Genomic DNA, 26316 nt, shown 5'->3' on the forward strand with positions numbered 1-26316 from the left:
GGCACCAGTAACCTCCTGAGCTCAGTCTTCCCACCTGCATAATGGGGATAACTATACTTCCCTTGGAGACCCAAGGGATTATAGATATTTGGGTGAAGCATACAGTGCTTCATACAATTGTCTGGCAACAATTGGCATGAATTACATTCCAATTCCAAATGCGAGCTGTAAACAATATTCAACAAGACAGCCGTGAGTGTCCTAAGAAGAGAGAGAAGGCGATGAAGCATCAATGAGACATTTGCTATGCATTCTCTGTGGTAGAGTCTCCTCCTTCTATATATCCTTCAAAATTCTCAGGCAACGAGGATGTGAATACAACTGCATTCTTACCACCCTGCATGACCCTTCTCCCGCTTGTTATTCCACTAAATTGGCAGGGCCTGGAGGGAAATCTTACCTGCAAATATATCACAAACAGACACACAGATTTTGAGCAGTAAATATTTTTTTTATATGAGTTCTCTTTGGCAGATCATATACTCTTATTCTAAAAATCTCAAGTATCAAGTGTCAAATGTGATCAAGTGTTATCATTATACAATACTTTTGATGGATATGTGTTCTTTGATTCCTAGGGAAAAAATATGAAATTGAGGTACGTTTCTTACGTAAGAAACCTGGGGTCATAGTTTCTCCAGAGATGTGCCATAGGCACTTAGATAACACTTGTGCCCCTTTTGGACACTTGTAGAGACCCCAAAGCTCACACCATCCCACACAACGTGTGCAAATAGCTGTAGAATGAGAACCAGATGATGGTCTAGCCCTGTGGGACAGGGGAGAGTCACTGTCTTTCCAAGTTTCAGTTTTCCAATCTGTAAAAGGGAGATAAAACTTTTGTACCTTCTCCGTCACAAAAACATCATGAGCTCTAAAGAAGGTAATGTAGGAATTATCTTTGAATGTTAGTGCAATGACATTTTGGACCAGATAATTCTTGGTTTTGGGGGGCTGTCCTGAGCATTGTGGGATATTTAGCAGTATCCCTGGTCTCTCCTCACTGGATGTGAATAGCATCCTCCACCCCATTGTGATCATCGAAAGTGTCTCTAGACATTGTCAAAAATCCCCTAGGGACAGAATCACCCTGGTTGAGAACCACTGCTACAAGTAGGAAATTTTCACTGCAGCTTATGATTCAGGAACTGGGAGAATCAGGACCACTAATGCTAGCTGAGTTCCATGTTTAACCATAACATATACTGATGCTGCTCCTAAAAGCCCATAGACCATTAACAAGAGCTGAGAATGTCATAGCTGCCTGCTGTAGTTGTGTGCATCATGGCCACATGGCCAAGGACATGGTGGCTGTATGTGTTATGGGGCAGTGGCGATGCCAGCTTCAGATGTCTATACAGTGGCTGTTGTAGAGCTCTGGAAGTCCTGGGAGCTCTCGTGCAAACAAGTCACATTGGACTTTAAGCAGTGATGCTTTTATAACTATATGAATCCATATTCTGATGCATTTTTAATCCATGTAAACTCACAGCCAACCACCCCTTATTATACCACATTAGGGAGTTTAATTACTTATTTAATCAGAATCTTTCCTGGATGGCCAGAAACAGCAAATAGAGAAACTTCAATAGCCATTATGCCAACCAAGAGCAACACAGACTCCATTGAAACAATTGCCTGCACTGCAATCATGCTAATTAAAGGCCCCCAGAAGAGTCAAGATAAAAATGTCAAGTGAGATTTGTTCTGGACTGCAATGACTTACTGCCTCACATGATGAAGTTCCAATAACCCTGGAAAGAAATGCCTTGCTGGTAGGGAGTGTGGGGGGAGGAGGATTGCTGGCTGCAAAAGCCAACCAGTAAGGCCCCAGAGGTGATGTACTGCAATGGAGGAAGGCAATTCAATCAATCCTCAAAAATGGGGCTTCCCAAAGGATCCCCATTTCCAAGCAGTGCCTTAGTCTGCCCAGGGTATGAAAGGCTCCTGTGGGTGCTTCTCAAAGCTTCTCTCCCCCATGCCAACCCACCTACTTTATGAAGTGGGTTTGGACATGAAGCCACTGACTTGCATCACAGGATATTTTAACAAACACCCCTAAGAGGTGCACTGTTAGATCTACTGTCAGGAAGCTGGAAAGTATAATACTGCATCCCCACACTATTCCTCTGAACAATGGAAAAGATATTCTTCCTCTGAATGACAGCCTGTAACCTTTGATGCTTACCTTTGTTCCTTGGCCACTAGGATGCCCAGAGCCAGATCTCTAAGGTCCCTCTAGCAGCAGGTACTTAGTAGTCTAAACTTGCCACTAATTTTATTTTCTTACATGTATCCCCCACTATTACCAGATACTGTCACTCCCATTATTCATCTTTGTTGCATTACATTTGCATTTTTGCAAAGCACCTCAAACATTTTTTGCAATGAAATGGGATGTCACTGAATAAATAACATGTAGATGTCTTTTCTTCCTTCATGCAAATTTTATTTCCCATGCATCGAGCCATGTAGATATTTCCCTGGGAGGAATATGGCAGGCCCTATCACAAAAAGCTGCTGTGGATAGGGGCATGATAAGGAGCTGAGGACATGACTAAATTGGAAAAGTTTATCTTTAAGACTACATCTTTCAGACTTAGGATAGGCTCATGGAATTCTGAATTCAGATGAGGAAGATGGCACTGGGACAGACAATAGAGGCTTACTAAAGAATACAAATGATTCTTATCAAAGAGGGAGGGAGGAGGTATTTCTATTACATTGCAATATGATTCCATAGAACCAGACAAATTTCCACCATCCTCTATAAGGACCTACTCCAAAATATTAATTGAAATGCTGATTTAATCAGCTCCTGACCCACAGACTTAGGGATCTGAGAGTACAGGGCTTGGACTTCTTAGTGCTATGATAGTGATACTTATCAGACTTCTTAATGCTATGATGGTGATATTCAAGTATCAGACTTCTTAGTGCTATGATGGTGATATTCAAGAAATGTGTAGGGGTGTATATACACTTTCTGTTGCCCCCAGTGGGGTAATCCAGGAGTGGAAGTCTGAGGATTTAGACACAGGTAGGGACTAATAGTGGACAGGTAGCTGTATATTCACACTCTTTGTTAAAATGTCGACATATGTCCATACTAGTTAGTAAATAGCCCCTGCCTTGAGTACTCAGACCCTCAACACTGTCATGCTGGCCCCAGCCCCCTCCTCTGAGAATTCTCACAATCGAACAAGGAGCTCATGCAAGGTCAGGTGCAAGAATCTCTTCCAATAGGGCAGTGTATACCAGGCAGGGTTTTTTTCTCTTAGAATCATTTATGGAAATATAATTCACAAAACATAAAATTCACCCTTTAAAACTATACCACACACACATACACACATACACATGAATAAACCATATCCATTAGCAGTTATTCATCACCCTGTGTGCCTCTGACCCCTGGAAACAACCACTAATCTACTTGCTGGTATTATGGATTTGCTTATTCTGGACAAATCATAGAAATTGAATCATTAAATATGTAGTTACTTTGAATCTAGCTTCTTTCACTTGACATACTGTTTGCAAGCTTTAACCATGTTGTAGCAAGTACCAATACTCTATTCCTTTTTATGGTTCAATAATATTCCATGGATATATTATATTCTTAGTCCATTTTTAAGTTGGTGAACATTTACACTGTTTCTGCTTTTTAGCTATTATGAATAATCTTGCTGTGAATATTCATGTACAAGTTTTTGCATGAACACGTTTTCAATTCTCTATTATGCACCTAGAAGTGGAATTGGTAGGTCATATGGTAATTCAATGTTTAACTTTTTGAATATATGTCAAACTATTTCCCAAAGCAGCTGCATCATTTTATATTACCAACATTAAGGTGTAAAGGTTCTACTTTCTTCACATCCTCACCAATACTTTTTACTGTCCAACATTTTTTATTGTAACCATTCCAGTGGGTATAAAATGATATTACAATGTGGATTTGCATTTCCCTAATGACTAATTATAATGAGCAACTTTTCCTGTGCTTATTGGCTATTTGTATATCTTCTTTGAGAAATGTCTATTCAAACCATTTGCCCATTTTTTATTGGGTTGTCTTTTTATTGAGTTGTAAGTGTTCTTTATATATTCTGGATACTACTCCCTTATCAGATATGATTTACAAATATTTTCTACCATTCAGTGGGTTGCCTCTTCATTTTCTTGTTGGTGTCCACTGAAGCAAAAAAGTTTTCAATTTTGATGAAGTCTGATATATATATTTTTTCTTTTGTTACTTGTGTTTTTGGTGTCATATATAAGAAATCATTACCTAATCCAAGTCTACAGAAACTTGCACCTAAGTTTTCTTCTAAGAGTTTTATTGTTTCAATGCTTACATTTAGGTCTTAGATCCATTTTGAGTTAATTTTTGTATATGGTATGTGGTAGGGGTTCCAAGTTCACAATGAGCACGTGAATAGCTCATTGTCCCAGGACTATTTGTTTAAAAGACTATTATATCCTTTTTGAATTGTTTTGGCAACATTGTTGAAAAATCAGTTGACCGCAAAAGTACAAGTCTATTTCTGGACTCTCAATTCTACTCCATTGATCTATGTCTATCCTCATGGCAGTACCATATCGTCTCTATTACTGTAGCTTTGTAATAAGTTTTGGGATTGAGGAGTTAGAACCTCCAAATTTGTTCTTCTTTTTCAGGTTTGTTAGGCTATTTTGAATCTTCTGGATTTTCCTATAGGTTTTAGGATCAGCATGTCAATTTCTGCAAAAAAGAGGCCTGAATTTTGACAGACTGTGGTTAAATCTGCAGGTCAATTTAAGGAGTACTGGTATATTAATAATATTAATTCTTCCAATCAATATACATACATACATGCCAGTTGTTGAATGAAAATGATATTTGATTTAAAAATAGAGTAAAAATGAGTATAGATATCTATGCATTGATATAATAAAGTCCATGGGAGATTGTGAACTCTTCATCATTGGAATTATTCCCAGAGAAGGATGATAATGTTGGCCAGGTGTATTGTAAAGGGATTTTCTCTCTCTGAAGGATAGTGGTTGTTTTTTTTTTTTTTTTTTTTTTTTTTTCCAAACTGAAAATCTAAGAGTTGGACTATTTCGAGTTTTCTCAACTCCTCAAGCTATAAAGCATTCAGGCTCACACAGGAGAACTGTACCATCATAAAATCTCAAAAGAAAGACATAAGTTCAGCCAAGGATGGATAATGGAAGGCCTTGTTCAAAAAATTTCCACCAGCAAAGTGACCCTGCCCTCAAGGAAATGGTGAATCTGTGATAGTGTTTATGTGCCCCAGCCCTCATCCCTGATGACTAAGATTGCTAGGAACTACAGAGGGTAGGGAAGCCCTTCCCCAATTAATATATCTAACTAACACCAAACTAGAAGCTGACATTCAGAGAATCTGAGATCTCTGCTTTAATTCTTAGGATAGATTTTTGATCCTGGAATGGCAAACAAAGCAACAAACAAAGGTATACAATTTCACTGTAACTCTCACCTTGAAATAAAAAGAGACAGTTTTTTAAAAACTAAGACTCAACAGAAAACATGAGAAGCTATGCAAAAAAAAAAAAAAAACCTTGCTAGAAGCCCGGAGAAAACAAGATTCTTATGAATCAAAATATCCATCCTTTAAACCAACAGAAAATTAAAACAAGCATGACTAACCAGGTGAATCTCAGCCTATCACAACTACGGCCTATTGAAGGAAAAAAAACAAAAAGCAGACTCCCCAAGCCAGAGAAAGAGGAAGGAAGCCTGGGGAGTGGGGACCTTTGCCAGCAAGCTCAAATCAGATATTCAATGAGTCCCAGACCTCAAGTACCACTTTTCAAAAATCCGCCAAGATCAGAGAGAAGACTTTAAATCTATCAAAGGCAGCGTGCCAGCACATGAATCTTTGGTTCCACCCAATAATCACAGAGCAAAGGGCATGCTTAAGGTTGAGAAGAAGCAAGAAAGATTTAGAAAAAAAATCATTAAGTTATTTGACTAATTCTTTACAAGGCAATCAAATGCTAGCCACTCACTTGTCTTTTGAAGCACACAAGTGTGGCACACACACAGAATGGTCTAGATCTAACTGACAATTATATAGGAGATAAACTGGGAGGCGTAGAAGCAGCCAACTATGAGCTTTGAACAATACTATGAACCTGTAGACCTGCTGACCAAAATGTTAAGGTCCTTTCCAGCAGAGCCAAGGTCTCACAGGTAAACTGTATGCCAGTGTGCGTCAGAGCTCCCTAGAGAAAATTCTTGACTGGCATGATCTGAGAGCTAACTTTGCACCAGGCACTGTTTTGAGTCCTTGGCAGGTTTTATTTCCTTTAAACCTTAGAATCCCATGAAGTAGGTAACATATTGGTCTAATTTTACTGGTGAAAGAACTATGGCATAGAGAGAGGTTAAGTAACTTGCCAATGTTACATGGTTACCAGGATGCAGAGCTGAGATTTGAGCCCAGGTAGGATGCCTCCAACAATCACACAGCTAACTACTACAATGCACTGCTCCGCTGAGAAGAAAGAGGACTGTGGAACAAAGTTTCAACCAGGGAATCACTCATTGCTAAGCCAATATAACATATGGAGGAACAAACACTTTCTCCATAAGGAAAAGTCAAACCTCATGAAAATCTTCAAAAGAGTAAATAGGCACAAGGGTGTAAGGAACCAACTGTTATGATATATTTGGATTTTTTTTTTTTTTTTTTGCACTAAGATTCCACTCAATGGCTATTTTTAAGATGGAAGTCTCCATGGTAATTGAGATGTATTCTCATGGATGGAGAACTGGTCAAAGAGTCTCTTGAAAACCCTTTCCCATTCAAGAGCAGAATCTCCTGCTTCAGGGCCACGCACCCATAAGAAAGAAAAGACAGGACAATGAGCCTCTCTCTTGGTCTAACTGGCTTGCTTGGGGTACTTCTGTTTGCTGTGCCTCTGACTTGATTCTAGGCTTTCCCTTACCTCTCTTGTCTTTCAGCACCTGTGCCCTCCTCCACCTGGTGGAGCTTTAGAGCTTTACAATTTGTCCAGTATCACTCCTTCACTATTCACCTGATCTCTCCATCCTTAATGCCCCTCCTGGCATCCCTGATCTCCAAGAGGGACTATGCCAGAGTCCCTCTGAGATGATCCTAAGCTATTCCAGGTAATATAAAACTAAAACAAAAGTTATAAACTATAGGAAGAGCCCAAGAGACTTTTGCATGTGCTGTAAACAAGAGGAGAGAGATGATCAGAAAAACGGGCAGATAAACTCTCATGTGGGCAAGAAAAGGGGAATGTTTTTCATCAATGGAAAATCCAAACCATTCAGTCTAGAAAAGAGACTTGGGAGAGATCAAAAAGTATTCCTTGAGGATGTGGTCTCAATATGTGCTACTCGGGCCAAAAATACCAACATGTTGCCAAGCATCATCAAAACAGCTGTTGGAAAAAAGAACACATTGTCCTGCCCTTGTGCAAATTCAAGGCATATTTACACTAAGAAGAATGTGTACCCTACTGCCTTCCACAGGGCAAGAAACAAATAAGACAGTGAGGGAAGTTTGAGGGAAGAGAAGAAACATTTATAAGGATTTAGCAGGTGTGGGAGAGTGTGAGAGGCCAAACTTAAAAGCTCTGTGAGACTCACCCTTGAAAAAGTGGGGTAAAAGTGAACAGGATCAGAATCGTAGCACTAGGGGAAGGATTGGCTCAAGTGAATGATGGTCTCACTATCATTCAACTCCTCTTGATCTGTGGCAGCAGAATGAATGGATGGAATTTATCACAGTGCTGGAGTATTCCATGTGTGAAATCATTTCATCCTCCCAATGCCTAGCAAAGTGGTATTTATTATTCTCATCTTACAGATGAGAAAAATGAGGCCTAGAGAGCTTAAGTAATTTGTGCAAAGGTATGAAAGTAGAGCTGGGTTTTAACCCTATATTCGTGTTACTCCAAAGGTTTTCACCTGCATTTGTTTTCCCTCTATTGATTTGGGTCTCTTTGCTCACTGGGATCCATCCTCATTAGGCACTCACACTGTTCTTCCCTGATTGATGCTTTCTGGACACACCCTGGTGCTGCCAGAGAAGCCTAAGTACAGGCTGCCATGCTTTCCTGAGTAGGAGCCAGATGCTTCATGAGCTTGACCCCCAGTTCATTCAGGACTTCTGATGGCCCCAGAGAAGTCCATGGAGTAACAATATCACCACCTAGGATGCCTGTGTTAAGACAAGAGTCTTGTGGGGACAGGCTTTCCTAGGCAATTGTTCCAAACAGCTGTCAGTGACTTTGTCAATGGGTCCAGCAAAGGGCCTGCCCTTAAAGCCTAAAGTCTGTCCGCCCTAAAACACACTGTTCTGCATGGATTCCTTTACAAAGCCACCTGATCTTACCCTCTGCATGGCTCTCCCACTGCACTCTGTGTGATAACTGCCTTGACTTGTCTCAACTTTAGACTCCATGCATGGAACAGACCACCTCAAATCTCTCCAAAGGAGAGATTTCAACAAATCCTGGAATACCTGACATCTGTATATCCCACTGCCTAAGGGCCAGAGCACAGAAAAAGGTGCTAGGAGGCAGTCTCCCTCTCTTACCAAAATAAGCCTGAGACCCTCCCCCATCTACCCCAACAACTACACAGTCTACACTTCAATTTCCATAACATTCCATTCCCCTTCAACAAAGTTTTTACCCTTGAACATTATTAGCAACCTATCAGAGATAGGGCAATACATTTGAGGAAATCTATCTTCACATCAATATGGTAAATCCAAGGATAACCAGAGCATAAGAGGTTTCTGTAGGAAGGATCTCTCATCCCCTCAAATGCCGATGTGCACTGGGGCTCACTAGGAGGCAGATGGTATTTACAGCCCTTCCCAAACTTATTTAGTGGAACACTTTTTCAAGAGCTTCTCACAGGACCATATCAGAACACTTGTAATTTACAGCATCTGTAGCTGTCAAAATAGCCTCTGACTTTAAGGAGAAAGTAAAAATGTTCATTACCAAATCCAGCAAGCACCAGGGTGGATGATTAAACTAGAATATTTCAGTCATCCCCAAAAAAATTTTTCCCACAACCTCTCATAATTATTCTAGGCTTTTCTCTCCTTCTCTTCCACCCCCACCGTAAGAGTGTTCCTCGGGAAAGGGATTTAAATTACACAGGGATGAAACTTCTGCAGCTATTAATATCTTACACGTCTCAGGTGTCTTTCCAGGCAAAGTGCTTTTCAGATTAGCAGTGGAGGCAGCTTTTCTCCTGAAGCACCTGGTGCAATGCTATGCACTACCAGGAGCCTGGGGAAAAAGGATTGATAGAGATCATCATGCACAACTGCAGGTCACATGAAAAGGGATTGCTGGTGGCTGGTGGCAGCCTCAGCAGAGAGGCAGCTCTATCTGGGGGCAGCAGCCCTCCACAGGCACAGGACACATGTGGCTTCAGGTGGAAATAAGAGATGAACCAAAAAGCCCTGCCCCATGGGATGGCATGATTCTGGGATTTGAAGAAGCAGTGAGCATCTCCTTGATGTAAAAGAAAACGGGCTAGTACATCCGTAGCTTGAACACTGAGGTTTGTGGGAAAGCACACAGGAGCACAACACATGCACACAGGGAGAGAAGTACGCAGAGGCACACAGCTGGGCTTCCAAATGCACACATGACATACAGACTCACACATGCACAGCCCATGACGGCTAGTTTCCAAACTGTGGATTTCAGAACACAGCACCATCAGAGAGCCACTAAGATAACCCCACGAGTAATTTTAACGTTGCCTTCCTCATGCGTGAAAAAGCAACTGAGACCCATCTCAGGAGAGTCTGCTCAGCTGGGAGAGGCACAGGGAGCACTTGTGCCCACCTGTGTCAACTGACACCACATGAGGACAAATGGAGGCCATGGCAAGGTTTAGTACAAAAATGAAAAAACCTAGCGTGAGGAGAGACATGACCCCCGGCCTCCAAAATGTGGACAAGCCTGAACCAAGGGGTTGATGTGCTGGGATGTGCTCTAGGTATGATACAATGATAGCTTGAGTTATATTCATAATAACTATCCTATATGGGCATTCTGTTATCCTTATTTACAGACAAGGAAGCAAGGCTTAAAGAACTGAAGTGACTAGTCCAAGACACATAACCAGTAGTCGGCAGGGTGGAACCAAAACCCAGTTGTGCCCAGCATCAAATCCTGCTCACAATACCATACTGTTGGCTAAGTGGTTTCAGGCAGAACAATCAGGACCAGGGAATGGGTCCCCAAAAAGATGATTCTTGGGCCAGGATAGGACAACCTTTTTCACAATTAGAGCTGCCTGAAAGGAGACTGGACACTCTGGAAAGAGTGACTTTTGGTCACTAGAAAAACGATCTGAAATTGGATGGCCACCTATAAGGGATGGACAGGAGACTCACACCCACAAGGATCTGTTGTATCTTTTTCAATCCTAAGATTTTCTAACTTGGACTTGTTGAGAAACAAGAGAAGGTTTGTGCCTGGGAAGCCTGTTTTATCTTTTGTCTTAAGCCTGTTTCCAGGCATGTGAAATTCTACCACCAGAGATGTGCTCATTGAAATCAAGGCAATCACTGGGCAGAGGAATCTGAAGACCTGAGTTCTAATTCTTCCTGTCTTCTGCACACAAACCAGCTGTGTTTCTTGGGCAATCCACTTGATCTCTCTATGCCTCAGTAATCTCGTCTGTAAAATGGGTGGATGAATAGGACCCCTAACGTGCCTTATACCCTATGATGCTGCATTTCTAGACCTTTGTTACCAAGAAAATGCTCCTTTATGACTGTAGCTTCCTAGAATCATGGGCACAGAAGATTTGCCAAGGAATTATCTACTGGGATGACTTGGCCACATATCTCTAGAGATACAGAGATCTAAGGGAACAAAACTATTCCCATACACTAGAGAGAGGTTCCTATTCAGAAGAGAAGTGTCCCCTGAAGCAAAGTAACTAAAATTAATTTGGGTTGGATCTCTCCAGAAGAAGAAAAAGAGCAGAATCCTAAAACTCACAGAGAGCAAATACACTCCCAGAACCTTAGAGCATAACAGGGTTGGCTCTTGGAGAAGTTCCATGTGTTCAATGTTAGCTGGTAAATTTAAGGTGAAAAAGGAAAGTGGGGCACACCTGGTTCTATTTCTACCAATGCCACCAACTCACTAGGTCTCTTGGGGCAAGTATCTTAACCACTCAGGGCTTCAGTTTCCTCATCTGTAAAGCAACAAGAGTAGATGCAAGTGCCAAATTCACTTGTACATGTGAGCCCCGAGAGAAGCTGGCAGACCCCACACAAAGACCAAGAACCAGGATCTCCGAGGTTCTTGGACACAGTGGTCCAAGAACCCTAGGCCCTAGGACACAGTGGTTTCTAAAAGCTCCCGGTTGATTCCAATGCAGATTCCTGAGGACACATATTTACTATCCATGGAACTATATGACCTTTAAGTGCTTCACATTTTAAATTCTACTAAGTTCCCAGTTCTGAGTCCCAGTCTCCTGACACTCAAGGCTCTTGGTGGCAGTGCAGTTCTGATGAGGAGCAACCAGGGCTCGGCCCCCAGCGATTCTTCATATTAAACAGACGCTACAATTCTTTTGATCCACACTCCATTATTCATAAAGGCATATCAATTACTGAAATATTATCTTGACCACTAACGGAAATGGAATATATAAGATCCACCTCCATGTTTAGCACCTCCCTTCACTCTCCCTGCTGGAAGATTCCCTTTCCATTAGCAGTAGCTCAGATGTCCCAGACTTCACAGACCAGCCCCCCTCGGGCCTAGAGAAGAAAAAAATTAGGACTGAAGAAGGATTTCTACTCTCAGGTTAAAGAAGAACAGATTCCTGATTTTGTTTTCTTTCTGCCTCCAGGGGACCTCTAGTTGAGAAGGAAGAGATCCCCAGTTGAGTGGGAAGAGACTTGTCATTGTCTGCATGTTTTTGAGGCTTATAGCTAAAGAGGCAATGGAGAAACCCCTACCTCAGTGACATATCAGGGACATTAATTTCATATTGCTTAAAACTATGAAGATAATTTTGATGATGATGATATTAGCTAACATTGAATGTATGAAGCTATTACTATATGCAGAACACTTTGCATTTATTTCCTTTATTCCTTATTTTTTTAAAATGGAGAGAGAGAATCACAAACTAAAATGGCCACAAAAGCCAGGTGAGCAGTGTAGATGAGCAGAAAGAGTTGGGTGTAAGACAATAAGGAGAAAAGGAGACTCTGGCAAAAAGGGGAACACAAGCTCTGGAAAAAGGTCCACTGCTTCTACGTTCCACCTAATGGTTGCCATGCAGAAATGCAAGCCAATTTTGACAGATCCTTCTATCTTTCAAGAGAAACTGGAAATGCAGAGATTTTTTTGTGTGAACCTTGTCAAGTTTTACTTGCTAGCAACCAATTCAAAAAGAATGATACGCTCTGCATAGGCCACAGGACACACCCCTATAGGGTGCACATGACCCTCCTGCTGCTGTTTTGCAACCTGTCTATCTTCCAGGAGCCCTACAAGATGCTGCTTTGCAGATATGATGTTAAATGACCTGTGAAAGGATTTGCAGCTTGTAAGCACTGGAGCTGGAGTTGAAACTCAAATCCAGACTTTTCTACTAGGACAGGTAGCCTCTACCCTTCTCTCCACTGCAGTGTTACAGGAGGCACCTCTGCTCCTGTTCTCAGAATCTCCTCAGATCCAGTGAGAAAAAAGCACACTACAGACTGCTTTTCCTTCCAAACAATATAGTGGATTCCTTTGTCCTCAGATCCACCAAACTTATCCAAGCCAAAAAACATCATGGAGAAAGTAAAGTAGAATAAATCTTCTTCCAAATGATTAGATGTCGAGCTTGCCCCCAAATCTCTTTCAAATCTACAAAGCAAAAGCTCAGTGGCCATGTTGTCCATTTATTCTGTTCTCTGGCCTGTTTTGGCATGACCAGCCCCCTCTAGATCCCAGCAATCTAGGGATCTCCCTCACCCCTGTAGTCCAGGCTTCCAGGCCTCAGCTCCTAACCCAACTTGAGGGTCCAGTCTCTGTCTACTCCTTCAGCCTCCAACATCACCTCTCTTGTGAAAACTCTTTCCACCTTTGCCCGTTCTAATAGCCCTGCCATCTGCTTTTCTTTTCTTTCTCTAAAACACGGCTCCAGTCCAGGGTCCTGGCTTGGAACTTCGGGTCTTCTCTACAATTTCTCATTCTGGGTGAATTCATTCTCAAGGCTCCAACCACCGCCTCTATAATGATTTAAGATATGAGTATCCTGGGGAAAGGAGAACAATTTATGTAAAATAAACTGGTAGTTCTTTTTCCAAGCTTTTTAGTAATTTTTCCGGAAGAAAAGGAAAAGGATGGGAAGAATGAAACTATGCTTTTTTTTTGGCAAATGATGAATAACATGGTGAAGATATTTATATATTACTAACAGATTTTATTCCTAAAAGCAATGTAATAAACCTATTGAATAAGGAGAATTTTATTTTTAAAATATGCATTATATTTTTGTCCACTTAAGAGCCAATAACAGAACTTGCTAAATGTATTTTTACCTCTAGCACTGCTGGAATTTACACACACACCCACACACACACACACACACAAAATCAAAGTATTATCACACTAGAAGCAACCTGGGAAACAGCCGGGCTAATTGTACCACTCACAGACACATCTCCGTGTGCCTAACTCATTCACCTGCCACCACATCATGCATTCACAGCAGTTACCTGGATCTGGCTTGCATTCTAATTCACTCCCTACATGAATGACTTCCCAAAATGCAAATTTTCAGTTCAGGGTTTTGCCGTCACACCACACTACCCATGAAGGGATAAAAAAAAATCCATCCTTTTGGACATGTTTTTCTTTTCGTTCCTTCCTGGTCCATGGGTTGTTGAGGGATATTTTCTTATCCAGTATTATCTTCAAATGGCTTGGAATGAACAAGCATGCCACACAGGCCATCATGACTGGATCCCACCCACACACCTTCCACCCCACTCATCCAGAGCTCCTGAGTGTCCCCAGAAAACACCTCCACACCTTTGTATCTGTTGTTCCCTCCACCAGGTCAGCCTCTCGCTTCTTGCTGTCTAGAATTCCTATTCATCACCAACAGAAAGCTCAGTCTCCAGCTTGCTTTAAGAAATCAAAATAGACAGGATTTAAGAAAGTTTATCTGGGAATGAATGAGAATGTGACTCTACTAGTAAGTCTGTAAGGACTTACAAAATATGCACATTTCCATATTAAACAGGAAGAGGTTAGATGTCTCAACTCAACACACTATGGGGCATTTGCTACCTTCCTATAATTTCAGAACATTTGGAAATCATAATTAAAATCTCAGTAATCTGATATTTTCTGGCAAAATCTTCTCCTTGACTTTGGCAATGAGGTGAAGTTTGGGGTTGGGTCATGGTGAGTTGGGTCTATCCCTGAAAAGAAGCCGCAGCTGAAGATATACACATCCTGGCAGTGTATGCATGAGCAGGCCACTGAATTACGTCAGCACAATAGGACACCAGCTTCTACATGGGGAGACACTTCCCACCGCACATTACTCTATGGGAAAGTTGATTTATCAGTAATGTCAGGGAAAGTCTGCACAGCCAGATACTGCCCCTCCCTTCGCCTGCCACTGGGGTGACCCAGTAGTGCAGAAGTGAATTTCTTCTGTAGTATAACTAAGGCAGACTATGGTAATAGTGCTGACAGCCAGAAGTGAGCCATTTCTTCCTAAACACAGGCAGCTATTCCAAATCCCTTACGTACATTACCTCATTTAACACACACGAAGACCCAGTGAGGCAGATCCTCCCATTAGTCCCACCTTATGACAGACACACAGAAACATGGGGAGAGAGCACAGCAGCAAGTCTAGGCTCCAATGTTCAAGCCAACAGAGCTCACCCACCCTGTACCCTACGGCCTTGTGCAGCATGAAGGAGAGAGCATGCATTGTTCTTCACAGAATCCCACCTTCAGCTCTTTGGCTGCCATCCTGCCATCTCTACATCCTCCACGAACCTATAAGACAATGAGATCCTCGACGAACTGTGATATTTCAGTGCAGCCATTTTGACAGGGTGCTAGGAGTTGGTGGTTTTGACATAAGGGAAACGTATTAACACAACCTAAAACACAAACCTTCTCACTTCCTTCCTTATTATTCACAAATAAAATGCAGAGCTGGCAACATTCCCCCAGCCATGGCTCATTCTTGCGCCTTGCTTACATCCTCCTTCTCACTCAGGACACTCTGACCCCGAGCTTTGGCAAACTTGCCCATTTGGAGAGGCCCAGAAATAGCACGGAAATCACAGGCAGGGTGAGAATGAGGCTGAGAACCTCTTGTTTATATCACTGTCACAAAAAAGTATTTCTATATGTTCATACCAAAACAACCACAGCAGAATGAGCCATTTGCTGGTTTATTTGTGCTCCTAACACCCAATACAGAACCTAGAACTTAATGGATGCTCAATAAATGTTTACTAAATAAATAAATGTTTTATAATGCACTATTAGTAACTATATTGAAGCACTTCTCAGCTTCTTCAGATATTTTTGATCGGGGGAAAAAGGAAACTACACCAATATCTTATACTGTGCTTCTCATACTTTGATGTGCATCGGAATCACCCAGAGGGCTTATTGAAATGCAGACTGCTGAATCCCATGCCCAGAGTTTCGGATTCAGTGGGTCTGAAGTGAATCCTGAGAATTTGCATTTCTAACAAGTTTCCAGTTAATGCTGATGCTGCTGGTCTGCACACCACACTTGGATAACCCCTGACTTCGAAGAACAACGGTCTTCTGAAATTCCACTACCAGCAGCTGAAACCGTGCACTGGTAAAGACCCACTACCAGCAGCTGAAACCGTGCACTGGTAAAGACCCACTACCAGCAGCTGAAACCGTGCACTGGTAAAGACCCACTACCAGCAGCTGAAACCGTGCACTGGTAAAGACCCACTACCAGCAGCTGAAACCGTGCACTGGTAAAGACCCACTACCAGCAGCTGAAACCGTGCACTGGTAAAGACCCACTACCAGCAGGTGAAACCGTGCACTGGTAAAGACTGTTTAAAATCATACCCGCATCTTCCTCTAGGTCAGAGCGTAACCAGATAACAGAACTGTGGAAAAAAGGAACAGGGTTCCTTCTCTAACCCAGAGCTCTGTGCACAGTGGACCATCGCCAGTGTTGGTGGAAGAAATGCCTGAGGATAAGAAGCCATACACTTGGTGATGCTCTATCAACCAATTTTCCACAGAAACAATGAAATGCAAGAAGAGTCCCAGTGTGCTGTTTGTCAACTGTAAATCGTGTGAAGTTATTTAGAAGTTGAGGAATAGAAATGAATTCCCTTTATGATCTGACAGCATTAAGTAACATGAAAGCAGCCTGGGAATCAAACAGATGCCTAGCTTCAAGTTTCCTTCCTTTTCAATGCCAGTAGGAACTCAGACACCCTTCTAAGAGATCCTTCAAGTGCAGACAACATTTCAGATCATGTACAAAAAATCCTGTAGCAGGGCCTGACTTGGCCAGGCACTGTGGCTCATGCCTATAAATCTAGCACTTTGGGGGACTGAGGTAGGTGGATTGACTGAGCCCAGGTAGCAGGCGTGGTGGTGCGCCTGTAGTCTCAGCTAGTTGGGAGGCTGAGGTGGGAGGACAGATTGAGCCCAGGAGATTGAGGCTGCAGTGAGCCAATATCACACCACTGCACTCCATCCAACTTAGGCGATACAGTGAGACCCTGTCTCAATTTTTTTAAAAAAAGACTTAAGATAGTAACACTGTATCTCACTAGGAAGCCAGTGCAGCAAAGTGGCAGTGCCCCTTGAAAGTTTACTAAAATAACAAAATATCGCTCCAAAGGAAAACAGTGATATCTGAGGCTCTTAGAATTTGTAAAAGTGTTGGAACACGCTACTTGATAAGGATGCCTTCTGGGTTCAACTGCAGAATTCCCCAAAGACACCAAAACCAATTTCTGTGGCAATTACTGCACCTGAGTCAGACAGTTCACTTTTGTCAGACATTCCTTATTAAATGGCCCAAACAAAAAACATCAACTTTGGGGAAAATGAAAAGATTGCATTTCCACTTACAGTTTCAGGAGTGAGAAACATGAGACAACAGCCATTGGTCCTAGACCTGTTCCTTCTTCCAAATCCTTATGCAGTTTAATATCATTGAACTATGTGTTTGGCCCTCAGTTTCCTCATCTACTAAACGAAAAGATAAGTCTCACTGGATCTCTGAGATATTTTTCAGATTAAAAAAACTTCTATGTTCTACAAGGAAGTTAAGTGAATGAGAATTAAAGAGCAGGAAAGGAAAAACTTAGCTTTCAGCCAACTCCTATTGCTGGAATAATTTTGGGTCCAAGATTTGAAGGCAAAAATATAAGCGAGGATCATATTGCAACTGCAACTAACTGGTGATAAAACCAAGACCAGCTAGGACTTGATCTTGGGCTGCCACTTTTCCACCTGCCAAAAAAACAGGCTCTCTCAGGTGCTCAAGGAATAAATGCTTCTTGGATGCTTCCCCGCCTACCTCTCCGGCAACACCGGAGCAGGTTCTTTGCAGGAACACGGTCTCTGATTCCTCTTCTCACCAGCTCCGAGATTTTCTTTTTTATTTTTCCAAAAGCAAAAGTCATTGGTCGATCTATGTTTAGAAATATGCACAACAAATCAAGAAATAAATTCATATGTGAAAGGATAGAAATGTTAGTCTCCAAATCTAGGCAAACTTCCATTTTTATAAGCCTATGAAGACAATATAAATAAATCAGAGGGAGTGGAGCCTGCTGGCAGCAACTGCTAGATCGCTCTCATTTTCTACATAACGTTCCCTGTGCTGAAAGGTATATTCAGTGAGTGTTTCATTTCTCTTCTTTCTGGAACAGGGGTCTCTCTATGTCTGCCTGGAACTGTCCCTAAATTCAGAGAGAATAACTTGCTACTTTGTTTTACCTTTTTTATTACAGTGTTGATAGTTTCTTCACTCCTCTAGTCATCACCTACTTCTGAGAAACAGTGACAAGCGTGATAAACAAAGGCCTGGACTATGTAAGTGCAAATTCTACGAATAAATTCGTAATTATTGTGTCAATAAGCTATGCTATTTAATACATCAACAAGACCTGCTCCCTCCACCCCGGGAGGGAGTCCTTCTCTGGTCACTCACCTCCAGCCCTGCCCCCACCAAACCCTGCCCCCTGTCTGCCTCCTGCTACTGCTACGGTGGCCTGGAAGGCCCTTCCTGTCCATCTCTGCCAGTCCAAGTTTCCCCGCAGCGTCCTAGCTCAAACACTCTCCCCTCTGTGGAGCCTTTACCCAAGCCTCTGCTCCCCTAATTTAAACAAGCCACTGCTCTCTAAGCACACTGGGCCCTTTAGTTGCAGGGTCTCTGTGGCAGGCATCTCATTATGCTCATATCTCCAGAACTGTTTCCTGGCCTGTCTCCCCAGCTGGAGTGTGGACTCCCTCATGCGGGGATGATGCCACTCTGTTCATCTCTCAGCCTCACTGCATTGACTCTGCAGCATAGTAGTTGCTCCAAGATTAGGAGCTCTGTGCAAAAATCATCTTTGTACTCAGTTTTTCTCCTGCACTATGTTTATTCTGGAGTTGGCACTGTAATGAAGAACGAAGGAATGCATCTTGATTGACTGATCGCCAGCTCTACAGCGGCTCCAATGTGAATATAGCCTGGCCACGTATTATGTAGCCATTAAAAATAGTGGCATTGTGAAATAAAGGTCTATGATAGGCTACTAGATGACAAATTCAGATTATGAAACCGTATGCAGAATATGATCTCATTTGTGTGTGCTATACATGTCCATGTTGATGTGTACATGTCTGCGTATGTTATTAGCCTGTGCATATAAGGCAAAATGTCATGCATTCATCACTTGGGGTGGCATTAGGGATGATTCTTATTTTCTTCTTTTCACTTTTCTGGATTTTCCTCAAAATATTTTCAGTGATTGTATATTACTTTGAAACCAGAAACAAATGTTAGGTGTTCTGTCTGTTTTCTAAAGAGACATAGAGAGGCTAACCAGAGCTGTGACCACCATCAAAGGATGAACTACTGAACACATAATCCCAGAGATGCATGGGAAGCCAATGAGGAAGCCCTGAGGATATGTAAGGAGAAGCCATGGACAGTTTTGCTTAAACACCAGGAATTTAAATTTACATCATGAATTGTTCCTAAATGGCCCATCACCTTTTCTTATGAACTTTCTCCTGGACCGTAAGAGTTGCAGCTATTTGGATCACTTTGCTGAAAACAAGATGAAGGAATGGGCTAAGCTGTGTCAGAACTAAGCAGAATGCTATGGCAGGCTCTTCTCCAGCTGGGCACAGCAGGGCACACCCCCTCCCAGGGGCCTCTCATTCAATGCCTCTCACCATTTACATTCCAACACTGTAAGATGATGGATACTTTTAATACAAGAGACCTGTCATTTATTTATTAGCTGGGGACAGGCTTTGCAGCCGGGAAGGATGCATTATAAATCAACTCCTTTCTCAGCCATTAAAAATTAATACAGTTCATAATGTAGAACGTCAGTAATTTCTTTATTAGAGGAGAGTGTCATTTTTTTTTCTTTTCTTCCAGGTTTTGTTTTTACTTCCTCCCTTCTCTGGGGATATTTTTTTTTCTTTCATAAAGACTGGCTGAGTATAAATTATCCCAGGGAAGGGGAATATACCCTTTCAGACAGAGGTTAAAATGGAAGAGACGAAGCTTAAAAAAAAAAAAAAAAAAAAAAAAGCCCCTGACCAAATTCCCCATGGAAATATGGTCTAACTGCATCTTTCAAATTTGCCTCATTAAGCCTCACTTACAACATCCCTTGTTTCTTTCTGATCTACCTTGCACCAAAAATGGGAGGCATTTTAGGTTTCTGATAGACCAGAGGGAAAGAAATATAAGGTGAGTGATTTGGGGTGTGCTGGGAGGTCTCTGATTATTATTTTCTAATGATTGCTCCCTCACAGAGGGGCCTTCATTAGCTTTTCTATTGTCTCCAAGTTAACTTGGCATTCACCAAAAGAAGCATGGATGTTAGAAGCTCAGCCCAAGACCAGGAACCCTTCATACAGCTCCCCCTTTAGACCTAGGATACAAGGATGCAGAAGGAAAAGACGGCACCAGAATATGCCAAAAGGCTGATTAGCTAAGCATCCATGAAGGCTTCCCCTTTGGTTCTTCCCCAGAGTGGCAGCTCCAGGAAAAGTGAAAGCTTGGAGTTAGAAAGAAGACAACTTCTGCTCTTAACTTCAGAGGAAATAAAAGGGAGAATCCAGAACCTGTGATGTCTCCATCTCACCTTAGCAATATTGAGGGGTTTGCAGTGGTTGGTTCAACCAAGCTGACCTTCTCAAGACCTGAACAAAGGAATATATGTGAAGGGAGGGGGGACCATCCCACCCCTAGCCACCCCACCCAGCACATTTTCCTGACTTTGGGGAATAGGGGGAGAGGGGTCACCCAGAGATGAACATCACATCCCAGGCACAGGCTCCCTGTGTTGATGTCTCTGTCAAACCAGCCATGATTTAGTTAAAGCTCCTAAGTAACAAATCCCCACAAATCCCCAAGCACATATTTAAAATCTATTTTCAGAATTACACTGAGCATAATTCAACCAATCAATGAGCCATTAGGAGTTTAATCCCAACACTTCTTCATTACCAGTGGCATGAGGGCTGCTCGACTCAGCAGAATCCAATGCGAAGAGTTGCTATATCACCAGCAATTCTAGGTCTGGGGACAGAAGCTTATACATTGCCTGCTGAGAGGCCCAGCCACAATCTGGGTGACAAATCAAGCTACAGATCCACCAGCGACAGGATAAAAGGAGACTCGGCCAAAAATAGGTCAACTTGGATCCAAGGACTTCTGCTCTTCTCCTTCAAGGGTAGCTCTTGCATCACCACCAATGCCCATCTCTAGCTGGACCCTGCTTCTGGGAGGCCTGCCTCATGGGGATCTGAAGCTCCAAAGAGCCTCCTGGGGTGGACACACGGAGGGGGATGACTACATAGGAGCTAAAGTGCTAGAGAGGAATTGCCTTCTGCTGCCTCACTGGTGAGCACCATGGGTCACCCAAACTGGTATCTGTCTGAAAGTCTCCAAGATCTCCCAAAAGGTGGGGGTGTGGGTGAATTGGAAGTCAGCTGACGGTGGGAGGGGGTATCCCAGGTTAGTAGAAGTGGCATGCTCCTAAACTCTAGAGTTTGAATCCTGGCTCTACCTTTGACCAGTAAATGACCTTGGGCAAGTCCCTTAACTTCCTTGCTTCCCTAGGAAATGCCTAATCTGTAAAGTGGGGAACACTACACTTACATTAAAGCTTGATTTAATGTAGAAAGAATGACTTCATGAAAAGAAGAGGGGGTGGTGGGCTCTGTCATATCACAGTTTTGTCATTTTCTAGCTGCAAGACTTTAGCAAACATTTTAACCATTCCCTGTGCCTCAGTTTCCTCACCTACAAAATGGGGAAAGTAATAGAAGCTACCTCATAGGATTTTTATGAGGATTAAACAATTTATTATTATATTTAAACTGATTTTGGTGCCTAAGATATAAAAAGCACTACGCAGTGTATGATTTTATTATTATTTGAATGTACTTCAAGTTCAGAGCCTGGCCCTTGGTAAGTATTCAGTAAATGTTAATGCATTTCTTTATTTTTTTACTACTCCCCCTTTTCCCCTCTCTTCACCACCTACCTGCTCCCACCTACTCTCCAAAAGCTATGCTCCCAAAGGATCACATAGCAGCTCTGAGGAATTCACACAGCTTGCTCAACCAAGATAGTTGGATCCAGCTAAAACCACAAGCAGAAATGTTTCATCACCCAGGCATACAAGTCTAGCCTTGAACATTAGCAGGACAGTTTACCAGACCAGAACAGTGATGATGACAACAACAAATTACTAGGTTGCTCTCCCTAAGAGGAGAGATACAAGGAGTAAAATGTACACGGTATCAATGTTCTCATCTTCATTCTACCCCCTGTACCCCAAGAGGCACCTGCTTACTCCTAGAGGAGCAGGATGACAGTATTTGCAAGGCTGAAAGCCTAGGTGAGCATTTGCTTTACTCCTGGAGGAGACCTGGGTGGCAGGTACTGTCATTTCTAACAGCCACTTCCTGTTTCTTGCTAACAGAGCCCTGTGATTCTATGGAGACATATGCCCTCCAGGCAACCATATGCCTCAGGGAAAATGAGTTCCATTCCCAGCCCCAGGGGAGAATCTGGAGGAGCTTAAAGTGCTTGGGGGTAATTCCATTCCCCTTAAGAATGACTGGCTTGGGAATAAACATATGACATAATTCTGGCCAATGAAACAGGAAAGACTACTTAGGGGCTTTGGGAAAAGCTTTCTCAGTTTCAACCCACCCACAAGAAAAGACAACCCTGTGGGGCCCCTAGTCCATGTGTTTGGTTGTGATGCCTGGATCTGCTGCAACCATTTTGTAGCCATGAGAGAAGTTAACCTGGTGATATAGCAAAATACAGAAAGGCAGAGGCAGGAGAATCACAAAAAGTAGAGCTAGAGTCCTAATACACTTCATCAGGATCCTTCCCTAGCTGTTTAGCTGAGTTATGTGATGATCAACGTCTTAAGCCAAGTGAGTCAGGATTATCTTGTACTTTCAGTCAAAAGGATCTCAACTGATACAATCAGTGTCTAAAACATGAGAATATGAACAAGACTCAGACATATGTACATTTGTGTCTGAAGATCCTATGTGTAAGTTTGCTAAGAAAAAACAAAAGGGCTGTGCACTCATGTCTAAGGACAAGCAAAAACGAAGTCAAATAAGCAGACAGACATTGAAGCCCTAACTTCGGAGGGGACCGTGCAGGCACAAACATATGAGAACTCAGCGTAAAGCACATGGGCAGGCATACAGGGGAGAAGGGGAATTTGTTTCAACAAAATTAAGTTTGATGACAAAGGGAAGGGTGAAACAAAGAATCAATCAAACAAAAACACAAACAAAAGAATCTCGCCATGAATCTCTCTGCCACCTTCTAGTTGAGCCCACAGAGTTTCGGTCTCATTAACCCAAAAGGAAATTGGCCTGAGCCCTCTGCTCATCTACATCCATCATTTCCTGACAACCAACATATTACAGTTCCGACTCCTAAGAGCATCTTCATAGCTGTGGAGCCGGGTGATAAAATGCTGCTTCTTAGAGTTGGGGGAAAGAAGTCGCTGGAGGGGATTCTTTTTTCAGAAATAAATCCAAGCTTGGAAAATATATTTTTCAGTACCATCAAGCTGGTTTCCCCCAACAGCATATTTATATCAGAAATTGTAATGATAGTTGTAAAAATATTGCTGTCAAGGCAAGGATGATCACATATTGTCACTTATACAAGTTTACAGAGTATTTTCAAATTCTCCTACCGCTTCATCTCAAAAGATACCTGCCAAGGTGGTCACCTTTTCTTATCTCAAATTTAGAGAAGGCAGGTGTCTTGCCCACAGTCATGCAGTGGCTGAGTGGTAGGCTGGGACCTGGGTCTAAGGCCACCCACTCTCATGTCACTTTTGTTTCTAATGAAAAAGGATCCTCTGTAACCCCCTAGTTCAGCTCATTCTCTCAGCCGCTAGACCCTGCCTACTCCATGCCAAGACCATTATATTCTCTTCTTTAAATAAGATGTTTTGACCTTCCCAACAATTGTTTGGAAACAGTGACTTTGAGAAAGCTGCCTGCATCTTGATTTAAGCATTTCTCCTTGGAGCAGCTCCCTAAGATTCCATTCCTAAGAGGCAGCAGATCTGCCTGGAAACGAGGAATGCAGTGAAAATTTGGCCATGACCAGCATCTCCGGATCTGGGGTTTAGGAAGTGTTAGAAGCACCTGCAACAGCTTCTAGGAAGAGAACAACAGGCAAAGATCCCCTGATCCATTTAAGTGGAGGGCACTTAGTGCTCTGCCAGAAATCCTGAAGAATGTTACCACCCCAATTCGGGCTATTCCCACGGAATGCAGCTACGTCCTGTCCCTCCGAGGGGCTTGAGAGGAAATGTGACAGTGCCTGTGCCAAATGGGTTCAGGCCCATCTGGGCACTGTCACAGTGAGTGACCACACCTGCTGGGGAGGCAACAATGGAGCCCCCAAACCCCAGAACAGCCCTGAATGGGATCCATTGAAACATCTGTGTCTACAGAGATGCTAACAGGTATACCTCAAAATCAGGTTCAGTAGCTCAAGAAATTTGAGAAGTGCTGCAGACCAAAGGTCCTTCTTGGTAAGTCTCAGGGATCTCTAGAATTAAAGGCTCTCAGAATCCTACAGTACGAAAGTTACTTAATCCAGGTTTTCCCAAAATTATTTTACCATGAAACTTTTTTTTTTTAAGCAATGCCTATTCGTATCCTTCAGAGAACAATTTGCAAAACAATGAATTAAAGGCAGCTGGAGAGAAGATGGAAGAGCAGTTGTACTCTTGGCTTCTTGGCTAAGATGTAGGTAGAGCTTTGGTTTTTAGTTATTGACCATCAACAATATAGTGCAAGGGGAATGAGAACCGACAAATTCTTTGGGACATCTGTCATAAGGTATGACTCACGTGTTCACTCACAGCAAGATGGAGATGATGACTGCTTTCTCCTGGAAAAGGGCTTTTGGAAAGAGAACACTAATAGAGACCACCATCAACTACCGAGATTCCTGCTTGTAGGTGGGAGAAGGAGATCTTTTTCCCTTTCCCTGATTTTTAACTTCTGCCCTTAAAATAAGAATGTCTGACTCCTTGGAGACATGGGAAGTAACCCTAAGCCCTTCCCTTACCCTGCATTCCTGGCTTCTCCCTGTGAAAAGCAAGTGACTTATTTGATGGGTGATGAGGGCGGAGTCCATCATCCACCATCACATTTCTCTTCTGGGCAAAGTTCATGAAGGAAAGGGAGTCTCTCCCTGTGCATATGAGCTTCCTGGGGTGTTCTTAAGCTCTCTGGCTTCCAAAAGGTAAGGTAAACCATGACCTTCCATGCAACTGAATGAATAATATCTGCTCAGCAAACCCAAGTTCTATCTGTACATCCAAGTTCAAGACAGGAGAAGCACCAAAAAACCCATTTTGGCTTTACGCCCAAGCTGCCTTCTTGGGCGCAACAATAATGCTCATCTTTTGATTCCTATCTGACCCCTATGTATATGTTTTACCTGGTTCAGAATTATGACCCTTTAAAACTCCAATACAGACTGGATGCCTGAATCCAGTTGACGAAGAAAAAACATAAATTACTTATCTCTGGGAAATCTTGAGCTAGAAAGGATCTCTGGAGAAAAGTTAATCCTCTTACTCCTTGAAGACAAGACTGAAGCCAAAACATGCCAGGAAGACAAGTAGTCCTTCTGTTTCTAGGCCACTGAGCGAAACAGAAAGGACCCACTCCATATTCTGCCCACCTTCAGCTTTTGGGTGCAGCTTCCCCTGGGCTCCCATCCCACCGGGAAATGACATTACTCCAAGCTGGCTGGGGGTCTCATCATTCTTCCCCTCCTCGACCATGAAGTGAATGCTTATCCCTCAAGTACTTTTTTAAAGCCAATTACCTTGTATTTACAGTGAGCATAATTAGACCTAATTACTTAATTAGCATGACTGCATGCAGCTACTAACTTTGAGTATGTGATTATGGCAGTGAGGCACAGAGCAGATGAGGTCATGATAACCACAAGGATGGCAGGTGGTCTCGGCCCAGGGAGATGAATGCTAATCTGTCACTTTGAACTAGTTGGTTTTAGCTCCAAAGTGCATGCTAGGAAAGTCTAGTGTTTTCAATTAATTTCAGGGAAATGGCTTCATATGATTTTTTTCTTCCAGGAATGGGGGAAAAATGTCAAAGTGCTATGCTTGGATTGTACCAACATTTAGGGAACTCAGACATCAGCACCCAGCAGAGATTAATATCTTGAGGCTGAGACTCTGTGGACAAGCTTGTATGTATACTAAAGTTCAAGCCCATGGGCCCAGGACTTATTTGCTTGGCTCCCAAGATATCTCATTCTGGCAACATCCAGCTCTTTCTACAAAGAAAGAATACTAGTAATGTCTTCAGACTCATCCCTCCCTCCAGAGACCTTGGGCTTACCAAACCTAGCATCACAGAATTCCTGGGGGTCTCCTAGTTATTCTAACTGAATCTGAAGATAAGATTGAAGAAAAATCAGAGGGAGACAATACT

At 42.5% G+C, this 26316-nt stretch overlaps 1 protein-coding gene across 26 annotated transcripts in view, besides 1 other annotated feature; it reads right to left on the reverse strand.

Annotated features, from left to right (window-relative positions):
• Positions 1–26316, reverse strand: part of NTRK3 (neurotrophic receptor tyrosine kinase 3) — a 396989-nt gene that overhangs the window by 137366 nt on the left and 233307 nt on the right. The window contains exon 13 of one of the 26 annotated variants that reach the window (XM_024449935.2): positions 14098–14190. Coding sequence (XP_024305703.1) covers positions 14123–14190 — 68 coding nt within the window. The 3' untranslated portion in view covers positions 14098–14122. 26 annotated transcript variants of the gene reach the window in all.
• Positions 24222–25421: an enhancer, noted in NCBI's record as "CDK7 strongly-dependent group 2 enhancer chr15:88564569-88565768 (GRCh37/hg19 assembly coordinates)". NCBI's record gives its function as "activates an origin of replication core promoter dependent on BRD2, BRD4, P300/CBP, MED14 and CDK7 cofactors, with strong dependence on CDK7, by STARR-seq in HCT116 cells {active_cell/tissue: HCT116}" and the evidence as "EXISTENCE:reporter gene assay evidence [ECO:0000049][PMID:35650434]".

Source organism: Homo sapiens, chromosome 15 (assembly GCF_000001405.40).
Source record: "Homo sapiens chromosome 15, GRCh38.p14 Primary Assembly".
NCBI lineage: Eukaryota > Metazoa > Chordata > Mammalia > Primates > Hominidae > Homo > Homo sapiens.